This window comes from Homo sapiens, chromosome 11 (genome assembly GCF_000001405.40).
Source record: "Homo sapiens chromosome 11, GRCh38.p14 Primary Assembly".
In the NCBI taxonomy this organism is placed as follows: Eukaryota; Metazoa; Chordata; class Mammalia; order Primates; family Hominidae; genus Homo; species Homo sapiens.
In genome coordinates, this window is record NC_000011.10 from 50070083 (window position 1) to 50095032 (window position 24950).

At 48.3% G+C, this 24950-nt stretch overlaps 1 long non-coding RNA gene and 1 pseudogene across 2 annotated transcripts; both read right to left on the bottom strand.

The window, feature by feature from the left end:
• Positions 1–248: 248 nt before the first annotated feature.
• On the bottom strand, positions 249–10839 carry LOC124902810 (putative uncharacterized protein FLJ44672; annotated as a pseudogene).
• A 647-nt stretch (positions 10840–11486) lies between these two features.
• Positions 11487–18395, bottom strand: LOC101060224 (uncharacterized). Of its 2 annotated transcripts, none has more exons than XR_931261.3 (3): positions 18215–18395; positions 17278–17342; positions 11487–11787 (listed from the first exon to the last, which is right to left on the bottom strand). It is a non-coding gene; the product is annotated as an uncharacterized LOC101060224 (long non-coding RNA). The 2 variants fall into 2 exon arrangements; XR_931262.2 differs by having other exon boundaries at positions 18204–18395.
• Positions 18396–24950: the final 6555 nt, after the last annotated feature.

Consider the following 24950-nt stretch of genomic DNA (forward strand, 5'->3'; position numbering starts at 1 on the left):
AATCACTTCAGGCCAAAAGCCCAAGGCTGCAGTAAGCCATGATCACACGACTACACTCTAGCCTGGGTGACAGAGCAAGACCCTAACAAAACAAAAAAGATAACTGTAAAAAATATAAATATAGAAGACATGAAGTGAGAAGCTGCCATGTCCAGAGTGAAGAAAAAGGGCCCAAGCAAAGGCTCATTCCCATTGCCACCCAAAGAAGACAAAAAAAGATGAGACACTAAATAAAACAAAAATCACTATGAAAGCACACAGGCAGAATTTATTATAAGTTTGTCAGAAATCCACTGTCAAGATTAAAAGAAGAGACAGGTGTTTTGCTAAGGCAATCTGCTCTGAAGTTACCAACAAATAAGAGTCCAGGGAAGCTTTAGGCTCCTTGATGCTGTTGACCATCAAAGACTAAAAAGCTGGATCCAGAAGAGGTGACTGTGAGGCAAGAGCAAAGCCAGAAGAGGACACTAGGAGGCAGAAGATGGATTCGAGTGGCCACTATGAGGCCAAAGATGGGCCAGAAGAGGCCATCGTGAGACAGGAGCTGGTATAACTGAGACCACAGTGAGACAGGAGCTGGGACTTGGGAGGCAGACGTGAGGAAAGAGATGGGCCAGGTGAGGATAGTGAGAGGCAGTAGCTGGGCCTAGAGAGGCCAGTGTGAGGCAGAAGCTGGGTCTATTGAGGCAGCCTTAAGAAGCCATTGTCAGGCAAAAGCTGGGCCTGTTCAGGCTGCCACAAGGAAGGCAGTGAAACTGGAGGGCTGGACTTGAGAAAGTTTTGGGTCTACAAAGGCTGCCAGGAGCTGGACAGGAGCGGAGTCCAAAGAGGTTGTTGTGAGGCAAAAGCTGAACTGGTAGATGCACCTGGGAAGAACAGATGGGCCAGAAGAGGACACTGGGAGGCAGCAACTGGGACTGGAGAGGCAGACTTGAGAAAATCCTGGGTCCACAGAGGTGGCCAAAAGGAAAAAACTCGGCCTGGAAAGACCATTGAGAGTAATGAGGTGGGACTGAAGAGCTCATTTGAAGGCAGCAGCTGGGGCTGTCGAAGCTGCTGAAAGGCAGGAGTTTTGGATTGGGAAGGCCACAGTGAGGCAAGAGCTGGGCATGGAGAGTGCGCTGTTAGGCAGAGGCTGGGCCACTACAGGCATTTGAAAGGTAAAAGCATGAGGTGGCTTGGGTCTAAAAAAAAAACACTCAAAGACAGGAGCTGGGCCTGGAGAAGCTGATGGAGAAAGTTTTTCACCTGTAGAGGCAGACGGGAGGCAGGAGCTGGGCTTGGAGAGGCCGGCTTGAGGAAGCTTTGGTCCTAAAAAGGTCAACGGGAGGCAAAAGCTAAACGTAGAGAGGCCGACATGAGGAAGTTTTGTGACAAGAGACCCACAAAAGGCTGGAGCCGAGACTGGAGACTTGAGGAAGATTTGGGCCTACGAGGCAAAAGGTGGGCATGGAGGGCCCACAAAGGCTGGCAGGAGCTGGGCAGGAGCTGAGCCCAAAGAGGTTGTTTGTTGTGAGGCAGGAGTTGGGCCTGTCGATGAAGCCAGAAGGAAGAGGAAGAGCTGGGCCTGGAGAGGCCGCCAGGAGGGAGGCAGAGGCTGGGCCTCTAGAGGCCAATGGGAGGCAGGAGCTGGCCCTGAAGGGGCCCACTTGAGGATGCATTGCACCTGGAGAGGTTGCCGGGAGGCCGGAGCTGGGCCTGGAGAGGCAGACTTCAGGACGATTTGGGCCTGCAGAGGATGCCAGGATGCCCAAGCTGGGCCTAGAGGAGCTGACTAGAGGAAGTATGGGGGCCCAGAGACACCATCAGAGGGCAGGAGTTGAGCCTGGAGAGGCCACCATGTGGCTTGAGCTGGACCCAGAGAGCTTCACTTGAAGAAGTTTTGGGCCTATAAAGGCCACCAGGAGCTGGGCAGGAGCTGAGTCCAAAGAGGTTGCTCTGAGGCAGGAGTTGGGCCTGTCGACGCAGCTGGGAAGAAGAGCTGGGCCTGGAGAGGATGCCAGGAGGCTGTAGCTGGTCCTGGAGAGGCCAACTTGAGGAGGTTCTGGGCCTGAAGAGGCCGCCAAAGGGGACAAACTGGGCCTGGAAAGACCACTGTGAGGAGTGAGCTGGGCCTAAAGAGGCCATCGGGAGGCAGGAGCTGGGCCTGTCGAAGGTGCCAGAAGGCAGGAGCTTTGGACTGGTGTGGCCACAGTGAGGCCAAGAGCTGGGCATGGAGAGTCTGCTGTGAGGCAGAGGCTGGGCCTGTATAAGGGCCCTTGGGAGGCAGGAGGCTAGGCCTGGAGAGGCCGACTGGAGGTCAAGTTCTGGGCCTGAAGAGGCTACCACAAGTCAAAAGTGGGTCCTGGGAAGGCCACAGAGAGGCATGAACTGGGCTGGGCCTAAAGAGGCGATTGGGAGGCAGGAGGAGCTGGGCCTGGAGAGGCTGACTAGAGGAAGTTGTGCACCTGGAGAGGCTGCTGAGAGGCAAGAGCTGGGCTGGGGGAGGCCGACTTGAGGACGATTTGGGCCTGCAGAGGCCACCGGGAGGCAGGAGCTGGCCCTGGAGAGGCTGACTTGAGGGCAAATTGGGCCTGCAGAGGCCACCAGGAGGAAGAGCTGGGCCTGGAGAGGCCAACTGGAGTAAGTTCAGGAACTGGAAAGGATGCAAAGGAGCAAATGCTAGGCCTGGAAAGGCCACCATTGAGACATGAGCTTGACCTACGGAGGCCACTGGGAGGCAGGAGCTGGGCCTTCAGAGGCTGTGGAAGGGCAGGAGCTTGGCCCGAGGATGCCACAGCGAGGCAAGAGGTGGGCCTGGAGGGCCTACTGCAAGGTGGAGGCTGGGCCTGGAGAGGGCGCCAACAGGCAGGGGCTGGGCCTGGAGAGGCCACGAGAGGCATGAGCTGGGCCTCAACAGGCCAGTGTGGGGGAAGACCTCAGCCCAGAGAGGCCAGTGTGAGGCAGGAGCTCACACCTCTGGGTGGGTTGCAAGAGGTATGAGTTGGGCTGAAACAGGCCGCTGTGAGGGAGGAGCTGGGCCTGTTGAGTCTGCTGGGAGGCAGGCAGGAACTTGGTCCCAGGAAGCTGCCATGAGGAAAGAGCTGGGCCTGGAGAGGCCCCTGGGAGGCAAGAGCGGGGCCTGCAGAGGTTGCACTCCAGTCAGAGCTGGGTCTGTGAAGGCCACAGGGAGGCAGAAAGTGGGCCTACAGAATTTTGGCTGGAGAAAGGTTTGGGCCTACAAAGGCTGGTGGGAGCTGGGCAGGAGCTGAGCCCAAAGAGGTTGTTTGTTGTGAGGCAGGAGTTGGGCCTGTTGACTCAGCCAGGAGGAAGAGGAAGAGCTGGGCCTGGAGAGGTTGCCAGGAGGGAGGCAGAGGCTGGGCCTCTAGAGGCCAATGGGAGGCAGGAGCTGGCCCTGAAGGGGCCCACTTGAGGATGTGTTGTGCCTGGAGAGGCTGCCGGGAGGCCAGAGATGGGCCTAGAGAGGCTGACTTCAGGATGATTTGGGCCTACAGAGGCTGCCGGGAGGCCCAAGCTGGACCTAGAGAAGCTGACTGGAGGAAGTTTGGGGGCTCGAAGACACCATCGGAGGGCAGGAGCTGAGCCTGGAGAGGCCACTGTGAGGCCTGAGCTGGGCCTGGAGAGCTTGGTTTGGGGAAGTTTTGGGCCTACAAAGGCTGCCAGGAGCTGGGCAGGAGCTGAGTCCAAAGAGGTTGCTGTGAGGCAGGAGCCAGGCCTGTAGACACAGCCGGGAGGAAGAGCTGGGCCTAGAGAGGATGCCGGGAGGCTGCAGCTGGGTCTGGAGAGGCAGACTTGAGGAGGTTCTGGGCCTGGAGATGCTGCCAAAGTGGACAAACTGGGCCTGGAAAGGCCATTGAGAGGAGTGAGCTGGGCCTAAAGAGGCCATCAGGAGGCAGGAGCTGGGCCTGTCAAAGGTGCCAGAAGGCAGGAGCTTTGGACTGGGGTGGCCGCAGTGAGGCCAAGAGCTGGGCCTGTATACAGGCCCTCGGGAGGCAGGAGGCTGGGCCTGGAGATGCCGACTGGAGGTCAAGTTCTGGGCCTGAAGAGGCCACCAAAAGTCAAAAGCAGGGCCTGGGAAGGCTGCCGAGAGGCATGAGCTGGGCTGGGCCTAAAGAGGCGATTGGGAGGCAGGAGGAGCTGGGTCTGGAGCGGCTGACTGGAGGAAGTTGTGCACCTGGAGAGGCCACTGAGAGGCAAGAGCTGGGACAGGGGAGGACAACTTGAGGACAACTTGGGCCTGCAGAGTCCACCGGGAGGCTGCAGCTGGGTCTGGGGAGGCCGACTTGAGGTGGTTCTGGGCCTGGAGAGGCCACCAAAAGGAACAAACTGTGCCTGGAAAGGCCATTGTGAGGAGTGTGCTGGGCCTAACAAGGCCATCGGGTGACAGGAACTTGTCCTGTAGAGGCTGATTTGAGGAAGTTTTGCACCTGGAGAGTTCATTGAGAGGCAAGAGCTGGGCCTGGAGAGGCAGACTTCAGGACAATTTGGGCCTGCAGCAGCCATGAGGAGACAGGAGGCTGGCCCTCGAGAGGCCGAGATGAGGACTATTTTGGCCTGCAGAGTCCGCTGGGAGGAAGAGCTGGGCCGGGAGAGGCCAACTAGAGGAAGTTCAGGGCCTGTAGAGGATGCAAAGAAGCAAACGCTAAGCTTGGAAAGGGTGTCGAGAGGCATGAGTTTGGTCTACAGAGTCCACTGCGATGCAGGAGATGAGCCTGTAGAGGCTGATTTCTGGACAATTTTGGGCTGCAGACACCGTTGGGAGGAAGAGCTTGGCCTGGACATGCTGACTGGAGGAAGTTTTGGGCCTGGAGTGGATGTCAAAAAGCAAAATCTTGGCGAGAAAAGACCACCAGGAGGCCCGAGCCTTGCCTATAAAGGACATTGAGAGGGAGGAGCTGGGCCTGTAAAGGCTGCTGAAAGGCAGGAGTTTGGCATGAGGAGGCCATGATGAGGCAAGTTGTGGGCCTTGAGGGTCTACTGTGAGGTAGAGTGTGGGCCTGTGTAGGCCGATGTGAGGCAAGAGTTGGGCTGGGAGGAGCCGTCTTTTGAACAATTTGGGCCTACAGAGGCTGCCAGGAAGCAAGAGCTGTGCCTGGAGATTCCTCCTCTTGGCATGAGCTGGGCCTATAGGAGCCATTGTGAGGCAGCACCTGGACTTGTCGAGACTGCTGGGAGGCAGGCCGATTTGTGGCCTGGGGAGGTCACCGTGAGGCAAAGGCTCTTTTTGGAGGATGCCATGAGGCAGACAGAAACTCGGCTTTTGGAGGCCACCGTGAGCGAATAGCTGGACCTGTAGAGGCTGCCGGGAGGCTGAAGGTGGGCCTGGAAAGCCTGACTTTAAGAATTCTGTGGCCTAAACAGGCTGCCAGCAACTCGGCAGGAGTTGGGCCAAAGGAGGTTGTTGTGAGGCAGGAAATGGGCCCGTAGACACAGCCGGGAGGATGAGCTCATCCTGGAGATGCTGAATTGAGGACATTCTAGGCCTGGAGAGGCTGCAAAAGGTAAAATCTGTGCCTGGAAAAGTCACCCTGGGGCATGAGCTTGGCCTAAAGAGGCCATTTTGAGGCAGGAGCTGGGTCTGTAGAGGTTGCTGAAAGGCAGCTGCTTGGCCTGAGGATGCTACAGTGAGACATGAGCTGGGTTTGGAGGTTCCACTGTGAGGTAGAGGCTGGGCCTGTAGAGGCCAACAGTAGGCAGGAGCTGGGCCTGAAACTGCTGATTTGAGTAAGTTTGCAGCTCTGAGAGTATGCCAGGAGGCAGGAACTGGACCTGGATAGGCAATGACCGGCATGAGTTGGGCCTAAACAGCCCAGTGTGAGGGAGGACCTGTGCCTGTCGAGGCTGCTGCCAGGCAGGCAGAAACTTGGCCTAGGGCAGCTGCCATGAGGAAAGAGCTGTGCCTGGAGAGGCCCCTGTGATGCAAGAGCAGGGCCTGCAGAGGTTGTTCTCAAGTCAAAGCTGGGCCTGTACATGCCACCAGGAAGTAGAAGGTGGGTCTGGAGAGTTTGACATGAGGAAGTTTTGGGCCTATGGCAGCCGCCGTGGGCTGTGCAGGAACTGGGCCAAAAGAGGTTGTTGTGAGGCAACAGTTGTGCCTGTAAACTCAGCCAGGAGGAAGAGCTGGGCCTGGAGAAGCCACCATGAGGCAGAGGCTGGGCCTGTAGAGGCCAATAGAAGGCAGGAACTGGGCCTGGAGAGGCCAACTTGAGGAGTTTTGGGCCTTCAGAGGCTGCCAAGGGGGGCAGTAGTTGGGACTAGAGAGGCTGAATTTAGGAAGTTGTGGGCCTGGAGATGACATCCTAGGACTGGAACTGGGCCTGGAGAGGCCACCATGAGGCATGAGCTGGGTGTAGAGAGGCCAGTGTGAGGTAGGACCTGGGCCTGTCCAGGCTGCTGGGAGACAGGTAGGAACCTGGCCAGGGAAGGCTGCCATGAGACAAAAGTTGGGCCTGGTAAGGTCCTTGTGGTGCATGAGCTTGGCCTAAAGAGGCCACTGAGTGGCAGGAGCTGGGCCTGTAGAGGCTGCTGAAACACTGTAGCTTGGCTTGGGGGGGACACGGTGAGGTAGATAGTGGGCCTGAAGAATCTGCTGTGAGGTCGATGTTGGGCCTGTAGAGGCCAACAGAAGGCAGGAGCTGGGCCTGGAGAGGCCACCAAGATGCAGGAGCTGGGCCTGGAGAGGCTGCCAAGAAGCAAGAGCTGGGCCTAAATAAGCCAGTGTGAGGCAAGAGATCAGCCTGGAGAGGCCGACTTGAGGAAGATTTTGGCCTGGAGAGCCTGTCAAAGGCAGGAGCTGGGCCTGGAGAGGCCACCATGAGGCATGAGCTGGGCCTAATTGAAGACAGTGTGAGGCAGGAACTGGGCCTGTTGAGGATGCTGGGAGGCAGGCAGGAACTTGGCCAGAGATGACCTCCATGAGGCAAGAGCTGAGCCTGTAGAGGCTGCTGTCATGCAGGAGGTGGACCTGTTCAGGCCACCGGGAGACAGAAGGTTGTGCTAGAGAACTTGATGTGAGGAAATTTTGGGCTTACAAAGGCCGCCAGGAGCTGGGCAGGAGCTGAGTGGAAAGAGGTTGTTGTGAGGCAGGAGGTGGACCTGGAGATGCAGCCAGGAGGAAGAGCTGGGCCTGGAGAGTCCCACTTGAGGAAGTTCTGGGCCTGGAGAGGCTGCTAAAAGGCAAAAGCTGGGCCAGAATGGCCATGTGAGGCATGAACTTGGTATAAAGAGGTCATTGGGAGGCAGGAGCTGGGCCTGTTGAGGCTGCTGAAAGGCAGCAGATTGGCCTGCAGGGCTGCGGTGAGGCACAGGCTGGGCCTCGAGAGTCTGCTGTGAGGCAGAGTTGAACCTGTAGAGGCCGATGGGAGGCAGGAGTTGGGCCTGGAATGGCGGACTTGAGAAAGTTCTTGGTCTGGAGAGGCCGCTGAGATGCAGGAACTGGGCCTGGAGAGGCCACTGAGAGGCATGAGCTGTGCCTAAAGAGGCCAGTGTTCAGCAGGAGTTGTGCCTGAAGAGGCTGACTTGAGGAAGTTTTGGGCATGGACAGCTGTGGGGGGGCAGGAGCTAGGCCTGGAAAGGCCACCGTGAGGCATAAGCTGGGCCTAATGATGTTAGTGTGAGGTAGGATCTGGGCCTGTCAAGGCTGCTGGGAGGCAGGTAGGAAATTGTTCGGGGAAGACATCCATGAGGCAAAAGCTGGGCCTGGAGAGTCTGCTGGGAGGCAAGAGCTGGGCCTGGAGAGGCCGTTGTCACGCAGGAGCTGGGCCTGTCCGGGATATTGGGAGGCAGAAAGTGGGCCTGGAAAGCTTGACTTGAGGCAGTTTTGGGCCTACAAAGGCCACTAGGAGCTGGGCAGGAGCTGAGCCAAAAGAGGTTATTGTGAGGCAGAAGTTGGGCCCCCAGTCACAGCCAGAAGAAAGAGCTTGGCCTGTAGAGGCCACCTGGAAGCAGCAGCTGGGCCTGGAGAGGCTGACAGAAGGCAGGAGTTGGGCCTTGAGAGGTTGACTTGTGGACATTTTGGGCCTGGATAGGCCACCCAGAGGCAGGAGCTGGGACTAAACAGGCTGTTGTAAGGCAGGAGCTGGGCCTGTACAGGCTGTTGGGAGGCAGAAGGTGGGCCTCAAGAAGAGCTGGCCTGTACAGACTGGTGGGAGGCAGAAGGTGCACCTCAAGAGGAGGAGCTGGGTCTTGGAAGGTGGCCATGAGGCAAAAGCCAGCCCTTGGGAGGCCGATGAGAGGCAGGAGCTGGGGTCAACTTGAGAAAGCTCTGGGCCTGGAGAGAAGGCTGGGAGGCAGGAGCTGGGCCAAAAGAGGCTGTTGTAATGATGGAGTTGGGCCTGTGGAGGCTGCCGTGATACAGTAGCCTCATCTGCGGAGACTGTCATGAGGTAGGGTATGGGCCTAAATAGGCCATTGGGAGCCATGAGCTTGGTCTGTAGAGGCCAATTGGAGAAAGTTCTGGGCCTGAAGAGGCTGCTGGGAGGCGGGAGCTGGACCAAAAGATTCAAGCACATTACATTTATTAGGTACTTTATTTCCACTATTCTGTTGTAAGATATAATGAAATATAGAATTCATCATAATGTAGAATCAGTGGGCGTGTTAACCTTGTTTTCCTGTGACTAGATGGTCCCATCCTCTGAGCGTGATGGGAGAAAGTGATAATCAGGCATTAGATTCTCATAGGGACAGCGCAACCTAGATCCCTCACATGTACGGTTCGCAATAGGGTATGAGCTCCTGTGAGAATCTAATGGTGCTGCTGATCTGAGAGAAGGTGGAGCTCAGGCAGGAATGTGAGCAAATGGGAGTGGCTGTAAATACAGATGAAACTTCCCTCACTCGACACCACTCACCTCCTGCTGTGTGGCTCCTTACATCTCCATGGCTCAGGGGTTGGGGACCCCTGCTCAAGTGCATCCAAAAGGACCCTTCCCACACCAGTCTTCATAGTGGTCAAGTGCAGCAACCACTTAACTCCCAAGGCTTGTGACTCAGCTGGCATTTCATCACTATCAACAGTAAGTGGTAGCTTGAGTCATTGTGAAGTCACTACCTGGAAATCACCAGCATCTCATTTCCCATTGGCAAGGAGCTCAGCACTGCCCCTTGGATAACCAAGCCTATGCCCAAATCCTATCTGTGTGGGTTTATCTCCTGGGACCCTTCCTAGCATATTAGTCAGAGTCCAATCAGGAGACATAAACCACTCAAAAGTTTAAAGTGGTAAAATTTAATACAGAGAATTATTCATTATAACAGGGGAACAGCATAATGAGAGACTGGCTAGCACAAAGTAAAGAGAACTCTAGAGAATATAGGACTAGCCCAGGCCAGGCATTGTGGCTCATGCCTGAAATTCCTGCAATTTCAGAAGCCAACGCAGGAGGATTGCTTGAGGCCAGGAGCTAGAGACCGGCCTGGACAACACAGCAAGACCCTGTCTCTATCCAAAAAAAAGAAAAAAAAATTAGCTGGGAGTGGTGGTGCACACTTGTAGTCCCAGCTACTCGGGAAGCTGATGTGGGAGGGTAGTTTGAGCCTGGGAGGTCAAGGCTGCAGTGAGTGATGATTATGCCATTACAGTCATCAAGCCTGGGTGACAGAGCAAGACCCCATCTCAAAGAACAAAACAACAACAACAAAACAACAACAACCATTTACAGACAGAAAAGAAATAGAGATAATAAGCTAAGGAAAGATGTTGAAATGTGACAGATAAAGTAATATGAGGTCTTTTATCTATTTAAAATAATGAAAAAAGTATTAAATTATAATACCCTGTGCTGGCAAAGGTGCAGTGAAATGGACACTTTCTTATACTATGAGTGGTGTTTAAATTGTACATAAGCCTTCCAGGGTAAAGCTTGGCAATTTTTTTAAATAATAGAGACACAATCTCACCTACTGCGTCCTCCAACTCTTGGCCTCAAGCAATCCTCCTGCCTTAGCTTCCAAAGGGCTGGGATTATAGCTGAGAGGCACCCAAAACCTTGACCATTTACATCAAGGGCAATGAGAATGTCCATTCACCATGACTCACAGTAATCTTACTTCTGGAAATACCTTGGGGAGACAATTCAATCTAAACAAAATGTCAACTGTACAAACACAGTGAAAATCTAGGAGTAATTGAAGACAGAGTAGTTAAGTGAAATAAGAAACAGTTATAAGAAATTAAACTATGATATTTATAGGCACCTGGTAAAAGGTCACTTGATGTTACCTGGTACTTTTTTAAGACAGGGTCTCACTCTGCCACCCAGGCTGGAGTGCAGAGGCCTGATCATGACTCACTGCAGTCTCAGCTTCCCTGAGCTCAAGTGATCCTCCTACCTCAGTCTCCCAAGTAGCTGGGACTATAGGAACACATCACCACACTAGGCTAATTCATGTATTTTTCTGCAGGGATGGTGACTCCCTTTGTTTCCATGACCTGTCTCAAACTCTTGGCCTCAAGCCATCCTCCTGCCTCAGCCTCCTAAAGTGTTGTGATTAATGGTGTGAACCACCACACTTGGCCAGCTGCTACTTTTATCAACATTATTATTATTCCACTCTATTAAAAATTATCTGTCATTACAAATTATTATTTTAAAGGCTATGGAAAAATATGTGTCCTACAGCATAATTGTAAAAACACATACAGTCATCCCTTGCTATACAGAGAGGATTAGTTCCAGCCACCTATCTCTGCATATACCAAAATCCATGCATACTCACATTTTGCAGTCACCCCTTTGGAACCCACATATAGGAAAAATCCAAATATGAGTTGGGTATAGCGGCAAGCACCTATAGTCTCAGCCACTTCGGGGGCTGAGGTGGGAGAATAGCTTGAGCCTGGGAGGTTGAGATCGCAGTAAGCTGTGATAGCACCACTACACTCCACCCTGGACAACAGAGCAAGACTTTGTCTTGGAAACAAACAAACAAACAAACAAACAAAAAAGTTAGAAATTCTAATGAGGTCTGTTGGGCTAAATTCCATATAAGCAAAGTATGTATTAATGAAGCAAATCATGATAAATTAGTACAACAGACTTTCTAGAGTCTCTGACAATAAAGGTAAGAAAAATGCAAAACACAGAGATATATGGTAAAAAAAGAAATTAGGGAAGCATTCTATATGTTTAATAAGAAGACGCTGGCCATGTTTGTGCAGCAGCAGTTTGTCACGATATGACACACCTTGGAGAGAAGTTAACAGATGAGGAAGTTGATAAAAATGATCAGAGAAGCAAAATACTGATAGCGATAGTGAAGTAAACCACAAAGAATTTCCATAACTGATGTCAGCAAAGTGGGAATATTGTACAGTGTGCGTTGAAGTTCCTATACAACATTGTTTATTTGCCTTTTGTTTGTTTGTAAGGAACATATATACTAAAAGTTCCTCTTGCTGTCGAAAGAATATGTGTGAATAAGTTATTTGAACTTACTTTTCTGTTTTTCTACTTTTCCTGCCATCATCCCACAGCTTTTAGAAATTTTTTATTTTTTTAGAAAATTGAACAAGTGCTCGTTGTGGTGGCTCATACCTCTAGGATGGGAGGCAGAGTTGGAAGGGTCACCTGAGGCCAAGAGTTTGACACCAGCCTGACCAATAAAGTGAGACCCCATGTCTACAAAATAATTTAAAAATTAGCCAGGTGTCATCATGTATACCTACAGTCCCAGCTACTCGGGAGGATGAGGCAGGAGGATCCTTAGCCCAGCAGTTCAAGGCTGCAGTGAGCTGTGATGGCACCACTGCACTCCAGCCTGGGTGACAGGGTGAGACGCCATCTCCTAAAAGAAAAAAGAAAGAAAATAGATTAAGTAACAAGTTGTATGTGGCTTACTCTGAATATTTCTAAACTAGAAGTTCTCAGTCTTTTGGGGTCTATCTTTTGGGGTCTAGCACCCCTTTACATTTTTTAACTTTATTGAAGATCCCTAAGACTGTTTCTTTATACAAATGTATTAAAATTAGAAAATATGACAAAATTTTAAAAATATTATAAATTTTATAAATATTATAAAACCATTACATGTTGATATAATACAAAATTTTAAAAGTATTTAATATTCATTACATACTAATAATAAAATCATTACGTTAATACTTTTTTTTTTGAGACGGAGTCTCGCTCTTTCCCCAGGCTGGAGTGAAGTGGCACAATCTCGGCTCTCTGCAACCTCCGCCCCCTGGGCTCAAGTGATTCTCCTGCCTCTGCCACCCAAGTAGCTGGGATTACAGGTGCCCACCACCATGCCCGGCTAATTTTTGTATTTTTTTTTTAGTAGAAATGGGGTTTCACCATGTTGGCCAGGCTGGTCTAGAACCCTTGACCTCAGGTGATCCACCCACTTGGGTCTCCCAAAGTACCGGGATTACAGGCATAAGCCACCACACCCACCCCAATTAATACATTTTTAGAAACACCAATTAGTCAGGCAACAACACTGGGCAGGGGTCTCCTCATTCCCAGAGACACAAACCCTACTCCATGGCTCCAGGGTTGCAACGGCTGCAGAGACAAAAGGCTCTGACTTCAGATTTCATTTTTTTACTTGTATTTCTATTTGTACTGTGAGACAGGTCCTGCTCTGTCCTCCAGGCTGGAGTGCAGTTGTGTACTTATAGCTCACTGCAGCCTCAATCTCCTGGGCTCAAGCCATCTTCCTGTCTCAGCTCCCCAGTAGCTGGTACTACAGTTGAGTGCCACCATACCTGGCTATTTTTTAAATTTTTTGTAGAGTGAGTGGTCTTGCTATATTGCCCAAGCTGGCCTCAAACTCTTGACCTCAAGAGATCTGCCCATCTCACCCTCCTGAGTAGCTGGGACTACAAGTACACATCACCATGCTAGCTACATTTATTTTATTAAATTTTGAAAAACATTTTTGTAGAGAGGAGGTCTTGCTATGTTGTCCATGCTTGTCTTGAACTCCAGCTCTTAAAATAAACTCCCATCTCTGCTTCCCAAACAACTGGGACTACAGGCATGAGCCACTGCACTGAGAATGAAGAGATTTCTTTAATCTAGCATCCCATACTCGGTAGGATTGAGAAAGGCAGTAGTGTTTTTTAAAATTACTTAATAATTCAGTAAGAATCAAACTCAACCTTGACCTCTGCCTTCTCTCACACCTCACATCCAGTCTGTCAGGAAATCCTGTTGACTGTCTTCAACATGTACTGAAGATCCCCCCCAGCAACTCCCTGGCCTTCTCCCCTACTTCTCTCCTCTGACCATCTCTCACCACCACCATGACCCTAGTCAGGACCACTATCATCTCCCACCTGGATGTTGTCACAGCTTGGCCCCCATGCTTCTACCCAAATCTTCCCACAGTCTTTCTCAACTCAGCAGCCAGAGAATGCTTTTAAATCGGGAGACAGATCATGTCACCTCTCTGCTCAGAACCCTCCCACAGTTCCCATCTCAGTCAGAGTAAAAGCCAAAGCCCCAGCAATAACCTCCCAGGGCTTATGCGATGTGTACTGATTCCGTCCTCTAATTCTCTCCCTCTATCCTTCTGCTCCACTGGCCTCCTTCCAGAGCCTCAGACACACCTCAGACACTTTATTCTGTTGTTTCTGCCTATAATCCTCTTCCCTCAGCACCTTGGCCAACTCCTTCCCCTCCTTCAAGTCTTTGCTCAATTTTCACTTAGGAGGTGACCCCTGACCATTCTATTTAACATTGCCATCTGTCCCCATGCCTACCATGCTCATGTCTTCTTTTTCTTTATTTTTTTTTGTTTCTTTCTCTTTCTTTTTCTTTCTTTCTGTCTGTTGGTCTCTCTCTCTCATTCTTTCTGTCTTTCACAAGATCTCACTCTGTCACCAAGACTGGAGTGCAGTGGCACAATCACAGCTCACTGTAACCTCAAATTCCCAGGCTCAAGTGGTCCTCCCACCTCAGCCTCCCTAGTAGCTGGGACTACAAGTGCATGCTATCATTCCTGGCTCATTATTTTAGTATTTTATTTTTTTATTTTATTTTATTTTAATTTTGAGATGGAGCTTCACTCTTCTTGCCCAGGCTGGAGTGCAATGGTGCAATCCCAGCTTACTGCAACCTCCATCTCCTGGATTCAAGTGATTCTCCTGCCTCAGCCTCCCAAGTAGCTGGAATTACAGGTGTGTGTCACCACGACTGGCTAGTTTTTGTATATCTAGTAGAGACAAGGTTTCACAATGTTGGCCAGGCTGCTCTCAAACTCCTGACCTCAGGGGTGATCCACCCACCTTGGCCTCCCAAAGTGCTGAAATTTCAGGCATGAGCCACCGTGCCCAGCCAATTTTTTTATTTTTCATACAGACAAGGTCTCTCCATGTTGCCCAGGCTGGTCTTGAACTCCTGGCCTCAAGTGATCCTCCTGTCTAAATTCCTGAAGTGCTGGGATTACTGGCATTAGCCACCATAACTGGCTACGTGTTCATTTTTTCTTGCTGCTGCAACAGTTTGTAGTTTCCTATATTTAGTGGCTTAAAACACCACAAATCTACCATCTTACAGTTCTGGGGGCCAGAAGCCCAAAATAGGTCTATTAAGGCTAAAGTCAAGGTGTCAGCAGGGCTGCATTCCTTCTGGAGACTCTAAAGTCTTCCCTTAGCTTTTCCAGCTTCTAGAAGCCACCCACATTCTTGGATCATGGCCCCTGACTCCATCTTCAAAGCCAGAAGTGATGCATCTTCAAATCTCCCTCTCTGACCTCTGCTTCCATCACCACATCTCCTGCTCCAATTCTGATTCTCTGACCCTCTTTCTTTTATAAAGATCCTTGTGATTGCTGGGCATGGTGGCTCCCACCCATAATCCCAACACTGGGAGGTCAAGACAGGAGAAACACTTGAAGCCCAAAGTTTGAAACTAGCCTGAACAACATAGTGAGACCCCACCTCTAGAAAAAAAATAAGAATAAATATTAGCCGGACATGGTGGTGTGCATCTGTAGTTCCAGCTACTTGAGAGGCTGAGGTGAGATGATCACTTTAGCCCAGGAGTTTGAGATCAGCCTGGGCGACATAACTAAATCTCATCTCTATGAAAATGAGCTGGTCATGGGTAACATGCATGTGTAGTCCCAGCTACTTGGGAGGCTGAGGTGGGAGAATGGCTTGATCTCAGGAGGTCAAAGCTATAGTGAGCTATGACCTCCTGAGATCATATGACCTCCTGGATGACACAGGGAGATTCTGTCTCAAAAAAAGAAAAGAAAAGAAATACATATTTAATCTCTGTCCCTGGTTCCTGGCACAGAGCTTCTAAAGCTCTTACAAAGACCTCAGTGATAGACATGATAGGAGCATCTTTTGTTTTTAATATTTAATCTTGGTCCCAGGTTTCTAACACAAGAGCCTCTAAGAACTTTGGGGGCAACCACATGATTAGATGCTTGGAACTTTCAGCCTTATGCACTGAACTCCAGGAGGAAGAGAGGCTGAAGATTGACTTAATCACCAATGGCCAAAGATGTTATCAATCATCATGCTTGCATAATACAGCCTCCATAAACACCCTGAATGGGGTTTGCAGAGCTTCTGGGCTTGCTGAACACAGGAGATGCTGGGAAGGTGGCATGTTCAACAGAGGGCATGGGAGATCTGTGCCCCTCCTAACTTACCTTGCCCTGGGCATCTTTCTTTTCTTTTGAGACAGGGTCTGGCTCTTTTGTCCAGGCTGGAGTGCAGTAGCACAATCTCAGCTCACTGCAACCTAAGCCTCCCCAGTCCCCAGCTCAAGGCATCCTCTCGGCTCAGCTTTCCTAGTAGCTGGAATAATAGGTGCACAACATTGCACCTGGTTATTTATTTTTATTTTTTTTTAAATTTTTTGTAGAGACAGGTTTTCACCATGTTTCCCAGGCTGGTCTCAAACTCCTGAGTTTAAGTAATCCCCTCACCTTGGCCTCCCAAAGTGCTGGAATTACAGGCATGAACCACCACATTCAGCAAGTATGTGTCTTTCATTGACTATTTCTGAGATGTATCCTTTACAATGAACCAGTAATAAGAAATGAACGGCCAGATACGGTGGCTCACATCTGTAATCCCAGCACTTTAAGAGGCTGAGGTGGGAGGATCACTTGAGCCCAGGAATTTGTGGCCAGACTGGGCAACACAACAAGACCCCATCTCTACAAAAAATAAAAGAAATTAGCCAGATGTGGTGGTAGAGGCATGTAGTCTCAGCTACTAGGGAAGCTGAGGTGGGAGGACCACTGGAGCCCAGACAGTTGATGCTGCAGTGAGCTATAACTTCACCATTGCACACCCAGCCTGTGCAACAAAATGAGAACCTGTCTCTCAGAGAAAAAGAAAATAAACTGTTGTTCTGAGTTCTGTAAACTGTTCTAGCAAATTATTAAACCCAAGAAGAGGGTCATGGGAACCCCTGATTTGTAACAGGTTGGTCAAAAGTACAGGTGACAACCTAGGACTTGCCATTGGCATCTGAAGTGAGGATAGTCTTATGAGACTGAGCTCCTAGCCTGTGGGGTCTGTGTTAACTCTAGGTAGTGTCAGAATAAAATTGTGGAATACCCAGTTAATATCCAGAACACTGGAGAATTCGGTACACACGTTCAATCAGAAATGTGTAAGTAGAGACAAACATGGACTTTTCTTTCACCTGTCTACCTGCTTAACTGCATAGGAGAGGCAATATGTGGTGCTCATGAACAAAGCAAGCATTGAAGTCAGAAGAGATCCACCATTTGACTCAGTCATAATATCCAAGTGAGCTTGCGCAAATCACTCATTATCCCTAAGTCTTCATCATTTCATTCATAAAATGGGGATAACTGTGGCACCTACCTGTGATTTTGTGAGAATTAATAAGATATTACGCTTGGTGTTATTGTGATCATTATACCTATTCTAAATCATTTGACAAGGACAGTGATGGATGATAACATCAAAAGATTAGAAACTGTAGTGGGGTCTCTCAGGCAAAATTCCATACAAGCAAATTACTGTCTCTACAAAGCATTCCTGTCAAACTTAATTCACCATTTCCTGAAAAAAAGTGCCATCTTCATTGTTCAGGTCTTTACAGTGCTGGTTTCCCTGCCTGGGCAGCTCACTCCATCCCATCCCTCCACTTCCCCCTTCCCTCCCCACTCTCATACCCACTCTTATACAACTCTTCCTCACCTTTCAGGACTTGGCTTCAAAGGTCACCTTAACTAGAAGCTTCTCTCACACTCCAGAAAAGCTTCCCATTGCATATGATGCATGCACTATTATTTGATCATTTTTGAGTCATATTCCAAGCCTTTTTGTACCTGAATAACATGTTGCCCAGTCAGTCTCTCTTCCTGGACTCTGAAGTCTTTCATGGTAGATCCAGCTGAGAGTGACAAAAAGACATTCTTTTGAAATAGAGGGATGACACAGACAGACATACGTTCTTAAACGTTTTAAATGGTATGTGAAAATTTAACAAAATTAAAAGGCTTGGGGGAACACTTAGGAGGGAAAGTTACTGGGAATGTCATAAAGGATTAATTTGTATTTTATTTTATTTTATTTTAATTTTTTGAGACAGAGTCTCATTCTGTCACCTAGGCTGGAGTGCAGTGGTGCAATCAGGGCTCACTGCAGCGTCAACCACCTGGGCTCAGGTAATCTCACTTAATTTTTATTTGGTTTAAAAAATTCAGTCTTGGTTGAGCATGGTGGCTTATGCCTATAATCTCAACACTTTGGGAGGCTGAGAGGGATATATTACTCGATGCTAGCAGTTTGAGATCAGCCTGGGCAACATATTAAGGCCCTGTCTCTACCAAAAAAAAAAAAAAAACTGAGTGACTGTGTGGAAGACAATTTTTCCACAGACTGGGGGTGAAGGAAATGATTTCAGGACGATTCAAGTACATTACATATATTGTGTACTTTATTTCTATTATTACTACACTGTAATATATAATGAAATAATTCTACAACTCACTATAATGCAGACTCAGTGGGATCTCTGAGCTTGTTTTCCTGCAGCTAGACTGTCCATCTAGGGTGATGGGAGACAGTGACAGATCATCAGGCATTAGATTCTCATAAGGAGAGTGAAACCTAGATCCCTCACATGCACATAACAGGGTTCATGCTCCTAGGAGAATCTAATGCTGCTGCTGATCTGACAGGACATGGTGCTTAGGTGGTCATGCAAGTGATGGGAGGGCTAGAAATACAGAAGAAGTTTCCCCTCATTCACCTGTTGCTCACCTCCGGCTCTGTGACCCTGTGGTTGGAGTTCCCTGCTCAAGTGCATTCAAAAGGATCCATCCCATGCCATTCTTCAGAGTCATCTTGACTGCCACAGTGGTCAAGTGTAGCAACTCTAAGCTCACAGGGCTTATGCCTCACCTGGCATTTCATCACAATCAACAGTAAGTGATAGCTTGAGTCATTGTGAGGTCACTTCCTGGAAATTACCAGCATCCCATGTCCCATTGACAAGGAGCTTAGCACTGCTCCTTGGATAACCGAACCTATGCCCAAATTCCATCTGTGTGGGTCTATCTCCTGGGACCCTTCCTAGCATAAATTCTGTATTTGTAGGAGTCCAATCAGGAGACACAAACCACTCAAAAGTTTAAACTAGAATGAGCAAAGTGGCTCACACTTGTCATCCCAGCACTTTGGGAGGCCAACGCGGGTGGATCACTTTGAGCTCAGGAGTTTGAGACCAGCTTGGGAAACATGGTGAAACCCCATTTCTACAAAAAAACACAAAAATTAGCCAGGTGTGGTGGTACATATCTATAGTCCCACCTACTCGGGAGGCTGAGGCAGGAGAACTTCTTGAGCCTGGCAGGTGGAGGTTGCAGTGAGCAGAGATTGTGCCACTGCACTCCAGCCTGGCTGACAGCATGAGACCTGGTATCCAAAAATAAAAAAAAAGAAAAAAGAAAGAAAAAATATATATGTAAATTTAATATAAAAAGTATTAATTTTGGCCAGGTGCGGTGGCTCATGTCTGTAATCCCAGCGCTTTGGGAAGTAGAGGTGGGTGGATCACCTGAGGTCAGGAGTTCGAGACCAGCCTGACCAACATGGAGAAACCACGTCTCTACTAAAAACACAAAATTAGCTGGGCGTGATGGCACATACCTGTAATCCCAGCTACTCGGGTGGCTGAGGCAGGAGAATCGCTTGAACCCAGCAGGTGGAGGTTGCGGTGAGCCAAGATCGTGCGATTGCACTTCAGCCTGGGCAACGAGTGAAACTCCATCTCAAAAAAAAGTATTAATTTTAACAGAGGATCAGCATAATGAGGGACACACTAGCACAAAGTAAAGACAACTCTAGAGAATACAGAACTAGCAGAGGCCAGGCATGGTGTCTCATGCCTGTAATCCCAGCAATTTGGGAAGCCTAGGCAGGAGGATCGCTTGAGGCCAGGAGTTGGAGACCAGTCTGAGCAACATAGTGAGACCCTGTGTCTACCAAAAAAAGAAAAAAAATTTAGCCAGGTGTGGTGGTGGTGCACATCTGTAGTTCCAGCTACTTGGGCATCTAGGGTGGAAGGATCCCTTGAGTCTGGGAAGTCTAGGCTACAGTGAGCCAAAATCATGCCACTGCACTCCAGCTTGGGTGACAGAGACCCTGTCTTAGAAAGAAAAAGAAAAGAAAAGAAAGTGCTAATCCCCCTATGGGGATCTCCTCTTCTCCTCCCCTCTCTGGAACCTCACTTGTCAGTTCTTCCTCCCACTTCCCTGTATCTTTAAACTATCCCCTGCTTTTAGCCCCTTCCCACTATCATTTAAATTACTCAAACTTCTTCTATTTTAAAAACCTCTCCCTAAACTCAGTGTGTCCCCTGCTTTAGGTCCCAGCACACCCACTGAGCCATCTGCTCCCCCTGGTGCCTTCTCCACACAGCAGCCTGAGCCATGTCTCTAATCCATTAATCTCATCACGTTACTCCAAAGTTTACATCACTTCTCCTTGTCTTGGGGATTAAATCCAAACTTCTTAACAGCCCCTGTTCTGCCCTGCCTTGCAAGGCAGCCTCACTGCTTGCCCCTCTCCATTTTACCTGCTGTGGAGTCCAACTGAGCCTCATGTGCCCCATGAATCAGGCATTAGATTCTCATAATGAGCTGAATCCTGCTCTTATGAAATCCACACTCTTTCTCCTCTGGGAGTCTCTGAAGTGAGTGATACCCTCTGCTTAGAATACACTTCCCCTTAAACCTCTACTCTCTTCCTGGATAGCTTTGGGTCCTCTGTCACTTGTCTGCTTTGGCATCACCCCCTCCTGGAAGCCTTCCTTGACTCTCCAGATTCTCAGGAGCATGAGAGGTGAGGTGCTCCTCCCATGAATGGATGGAGATTAGGGATTATGGGTTATTCATGTTTAATTCAACAGTTCTTAGCTCAGTACCTGGCACAAAACAGTTACTGTGGTGGCCAAAGTAATGACCCCACCCCCCACCCCCCACCAATTGCTCATGTCCTATGTTACACAGCACAATTACATAGGAAGGGGGAATTAAGAGTACAGAAGGAATTAATGTTGCTAATCAGCTGATCTTAAAACAAGATTATCCTGGAGTATCTGGAAGAGCCCATGTAATATCAAGCTTTCTTTAAATGTGGAAGAGGGAGGCAGAAGGTTAAGAACCAGAGACGGCGGGTACAATGGCTCATGCCTGTAATACCAACACTTTTGGAGGCCAAGGCAGGAAATTCCCCTGAGTGCAGGAGTTCAAGGCCAGCCCTGACAATATAGTGAGGCCCCATGTCTACCAAAAAAAAAAAAAAAGAAAAATTCACTGAGTGTCACGGTGCTTACCTGTAGTCCCAGCTATTGGGAAGGTTGAAGTGGTAGGATCACTTGAGCCTGGGAGTTTGAGGCTACAATGAGCCATGATAGGACCACTGAACTCCATCCTGAGTGACACAGCAAGGTCCTGTTTCTAAAAGAAACCAGGACATTGGAATCAGGATTCCCTCCATACTAAGGTGCCTACAAAGCATCTCTCTCTGCAAATGAGTAAACATCATCCCCTAACTCCTCACAGAGTGGAGCAGCAGGAAAACTCCCTCACCTCATTTCTGTGTGGCTTGGGAGGCCTGGACAGCCCAATAACCAGTTCCTTGCTGATGAAGCAATCGGGAAATGGCTCGAGTTGAGCTAAGGAGAATTTGGATCCTCCTTTCGGTTCTCAAATAGGCAGGGTAGGGGCCAGGCATGGTGGCTCATACCTCTAATCCTTGCACTTTGGGAGGCCAAGGTGAGAGGATTGCTTGAGGCCAGGAGCTCAAGACCAGCCTGGGCAACATAGCAAGACCCAGGTGGCATGCCCCTGTGGTCCCTGCTACTTGGTAGGATGAGGTGGGAGGATTGATCACTGGATCCCAGGAGTTTCAGGCTTCAGTGAGCCATGATCACACCACTGCACTCCAGCCTGGGTGACAGAGACAGAACATGTCTCAAAAGCTTTAAAAAAAAAAAAAAAAACAAGAGAGACCATAGGCAGGCATCACCACATCTGGCTAATATTTCAATATTCTGTAGAGATGAAGTCTTGCTAAGTTGCCAAGGCTGGTCTAAAACTCCTGGCATCAGGCTGGGGATGAGGGCTCATGACTGTAATCCCAGCACTTTGGGAGGTCAAGGCAGGCAGATCACCTGAGGACAGGAGTTTCAGACCAGTCTGACCAACATGGTGAAACCCCATGTGCACTGAAAGTACAATAATTAGCTAGGCAGTAGTGGCATGTGCCTGTAATCTCAGCTACTCAGGAGGCTGAGGCAGAAGATTCACTTGAACCTGGGAGGCAGAGGTTGCAGTGAGCCCAGATTGTGCCACTGCACTCTACCCTGGGCGACAGAGTGAGACTCTGTCTCAAAAAACAAAAAAACAAAAAAAAAAAACAAAAAACTCCTGGCATCAAGAGATCTTCCTATCTCACCCTCCCAATGTCCTGGGATTATATTTTTGTTTAGAATAATTGAAGACACTTGTTCTTATACTGCTTTAAGGTATAAAGAAAACAAAAAGATAACAAATGGTGAAGGCCGGGCACAGTGGCTCAGCCTAGTTTCCAGAACTTTGGGAGGGTGAGGTGGACAGATCACTTGAGGCCAGGAGTATGAGACCAGCCTAGCCAACATTGTAAAACCCATGAGTACAAAAAAGTAAAAAAATTAGCCAGGCATGGTGGCATGCACCTGTAATTCCCAGCTACTCAGGAGGCTGACGTGAGAGAATCACTTGTGCCTGGGAGGTCAAGGCTATAGTGAACTGTGATGGCATCACTGTGCTGCAGCCTGAGAGACAGAGCAAGCCCCTATCTAGAAAAAAAAATAATGTCAGTGAAGATGTGGAGGAATTGGAACCCACATACATTACTGGTGGGAACATAAAATCGTGTAACCACTTTGGGTATTTCTTTTCTTGTCATTTTTATTGGATTTTTTTAAATCAAGACAGAGTGTCATTATCTTGCCCAGGCTGGTATTGAACTCATGGGTTCAAGCCATCCTCCCAACTAAGCCTCCTGAGTAGCTGGGATTACAGGTGTGAACCATCACACCCAACTGGTGTAGCCACTTTAGAAAACAGTCTGGCAGTTTCTCAAAAGTCTAAATGTACAGTCATTATATAATGCAACAATTTCACTCCAAGACATATATCCCAGAGAAATAAAAATATATGTCCACACAAAAACTTGTACAGCAATCCTCATAGCAGCATTATTTGTAATGGCCAATACATGGAAACAACCCAAATGTCCACCAACTGATGAACAGATAAACAAAATGCAGTGTGTCTCTACCATGGAATATTATTCGGCCATAGAAGGAATGAAATATTGATACACACTATGACATAAAGGAACTTTGAAAACATTGTGCTAAGAGGGAAAAAAGCCACAAAAGATCACATATTATACAAATCTATTTGTCCAGATTAGACAAGTCTATAGTGACAAAAAAATGAATCAATCGTTTCCAAAGACTGGGGGCCAAGGCAGGTGGGGGGGAGTAGGAGGTAGTGGATAAGGAGTGTGGTTTTCTCTATAGGGTAATGAAAGATTCTAAAAGTGACTGTGGTGATTGATGCACAGCTCTGGGAATACTCTAAAACCTACTGAATTTCAGATTTCAATAAATAAAGTGAACGGTATGTGAATCATATTTTAATAAAGCTACTATTTTAAATAATAATAATAAGGGGCTGGGCACAGGTGGTCATGCCTGCCTGTAATCCCAGCAGTTTGGGAGGCTGAAGCAGGAGGATCACTTGAGGTCAGAAGTTTGAGCCCAGTCTGAGCAATCTAGCAAGATCCTGTCTCTATGATAAAAAAAAATAAAAAATTAGCTGGGCATGGTGGCACATGTCTGTAGTCCCAGCTACTTGGGAGACTGACATGGGAGGATTGCTTGAGCCCAGGAGTTTGAAGCTACAGTGACTCATGATCATGTCACTGTACTGCAGCCTGGGTGACAGAACAAGACCCTGTCTCTAAAAAGGAAAGAAGAGAAATGCAAGTTTTTATCACTTTGTGAGTGTAGCCAAGTTTGCGGGGAAATAGACAAGAATAAAAGGGCACTGAATAATGAAGGTGAGTGGCTGGTTAGGCTCATTTGCTAGCTAATCAGCTTCTAAAAAATTTATTAGTAAAGTTACAGCTCTGGGGATAACCACACAGTCAAAGAATGAATGCTAAATTCATTACAAATGCTCATGGTCTTTCTTTACATGCCTTCTAGTGAAAAATTCCTAAGAGCCTGAACAGCAAGTCTGCAACTATAGCAGCTGTTTATTAAAGACTACAAAAAAGAAAAGGAGGCTGGGCATGGTGGCTCACACCTGTAATCTCTACATTTTGGGAGGCCGAGGCAGGCAGTTCACCTTAGGTCAACAGTTCGAGACCAGCCTGGCCAACATGGTGAAACCCCGTATTTACTAAAAATACAAAAATTAGCTGGGTGTGGTCGCATGTGGCTGCAATCCCAGCTACTCAAGAGGCTGAGGCAGGAGAACTGCTTGAGCCCAGCAGCCGGAGGTTGCAGTGAGCCAAAATCACACCATTGCACTCCAGCCTGGGTGACAAAAGCAAGACTCCATCTAAAAAAAAAAAAAAAAGAAGAAGAAGAAGAAATGGCATCTTCTTCAAGAATGACATAGTGTTTCATGATAAAGAAGCTCTAATTTTGCATTTGTGTTGATTTGATTTAGCCAATATGACACCAATCTTGGATAAAGTGCAAACAACACAATTTCATTTTCTCTTTAATTAAAACTGATTAGGTAGTGTAATATCAATTGTGATCTTATTAAAAACTGATCAGATAAAAAAATTATGGAATGATGGAGCCAATAAGATGTTACAACCTCTTCCAAGGAGAATTTAAAAATCCACACATATCTGAGATGATCAAATATGAGGAAATATACTGAATTACTATATTTAAAAATAAACTGATTATATAGCCAACAACAACTGGACAGAGGTCTCCTCATCCACAGCCACATAAACTCGATCATGTGGCTATGCAGTTGCAAGGTCTGCATAGCCTAGAAGGGATTGGTCTGACTTGAGATTTCATTTCATTTGTATTTGTATTTTGAGACAGGGTCCCACTCTGTCACCCAGGCTGGAGTGCAGTGATATAATCATAGCTAACTGCAGCCTTGACCAACTGGGCTCAAGAGATGCTCCTGCCTCAGATGCCCCAGAACCTGGGAATACAGGCAAGTACTATCATGTAGTGCCATTTTTTTTTTTTTTTTTTACTTTGGTAGAGAGAGAACTCTTGCTATGTTGCCCAAGCTGGCCTCAAACTCCTAGCCTCAAGAGATCTGCCTACCTCAGCCTCCTGAGTAACTTCCTATTTATTCCTTTAATAAAAAGAAATTTTATTAAATTTCTTTCTTTTATTTTTGTAGAGAGGAGGTCTTGCTATGTTGCCCAGGTTGCTCTCCAACTCATGGCCTTAAAC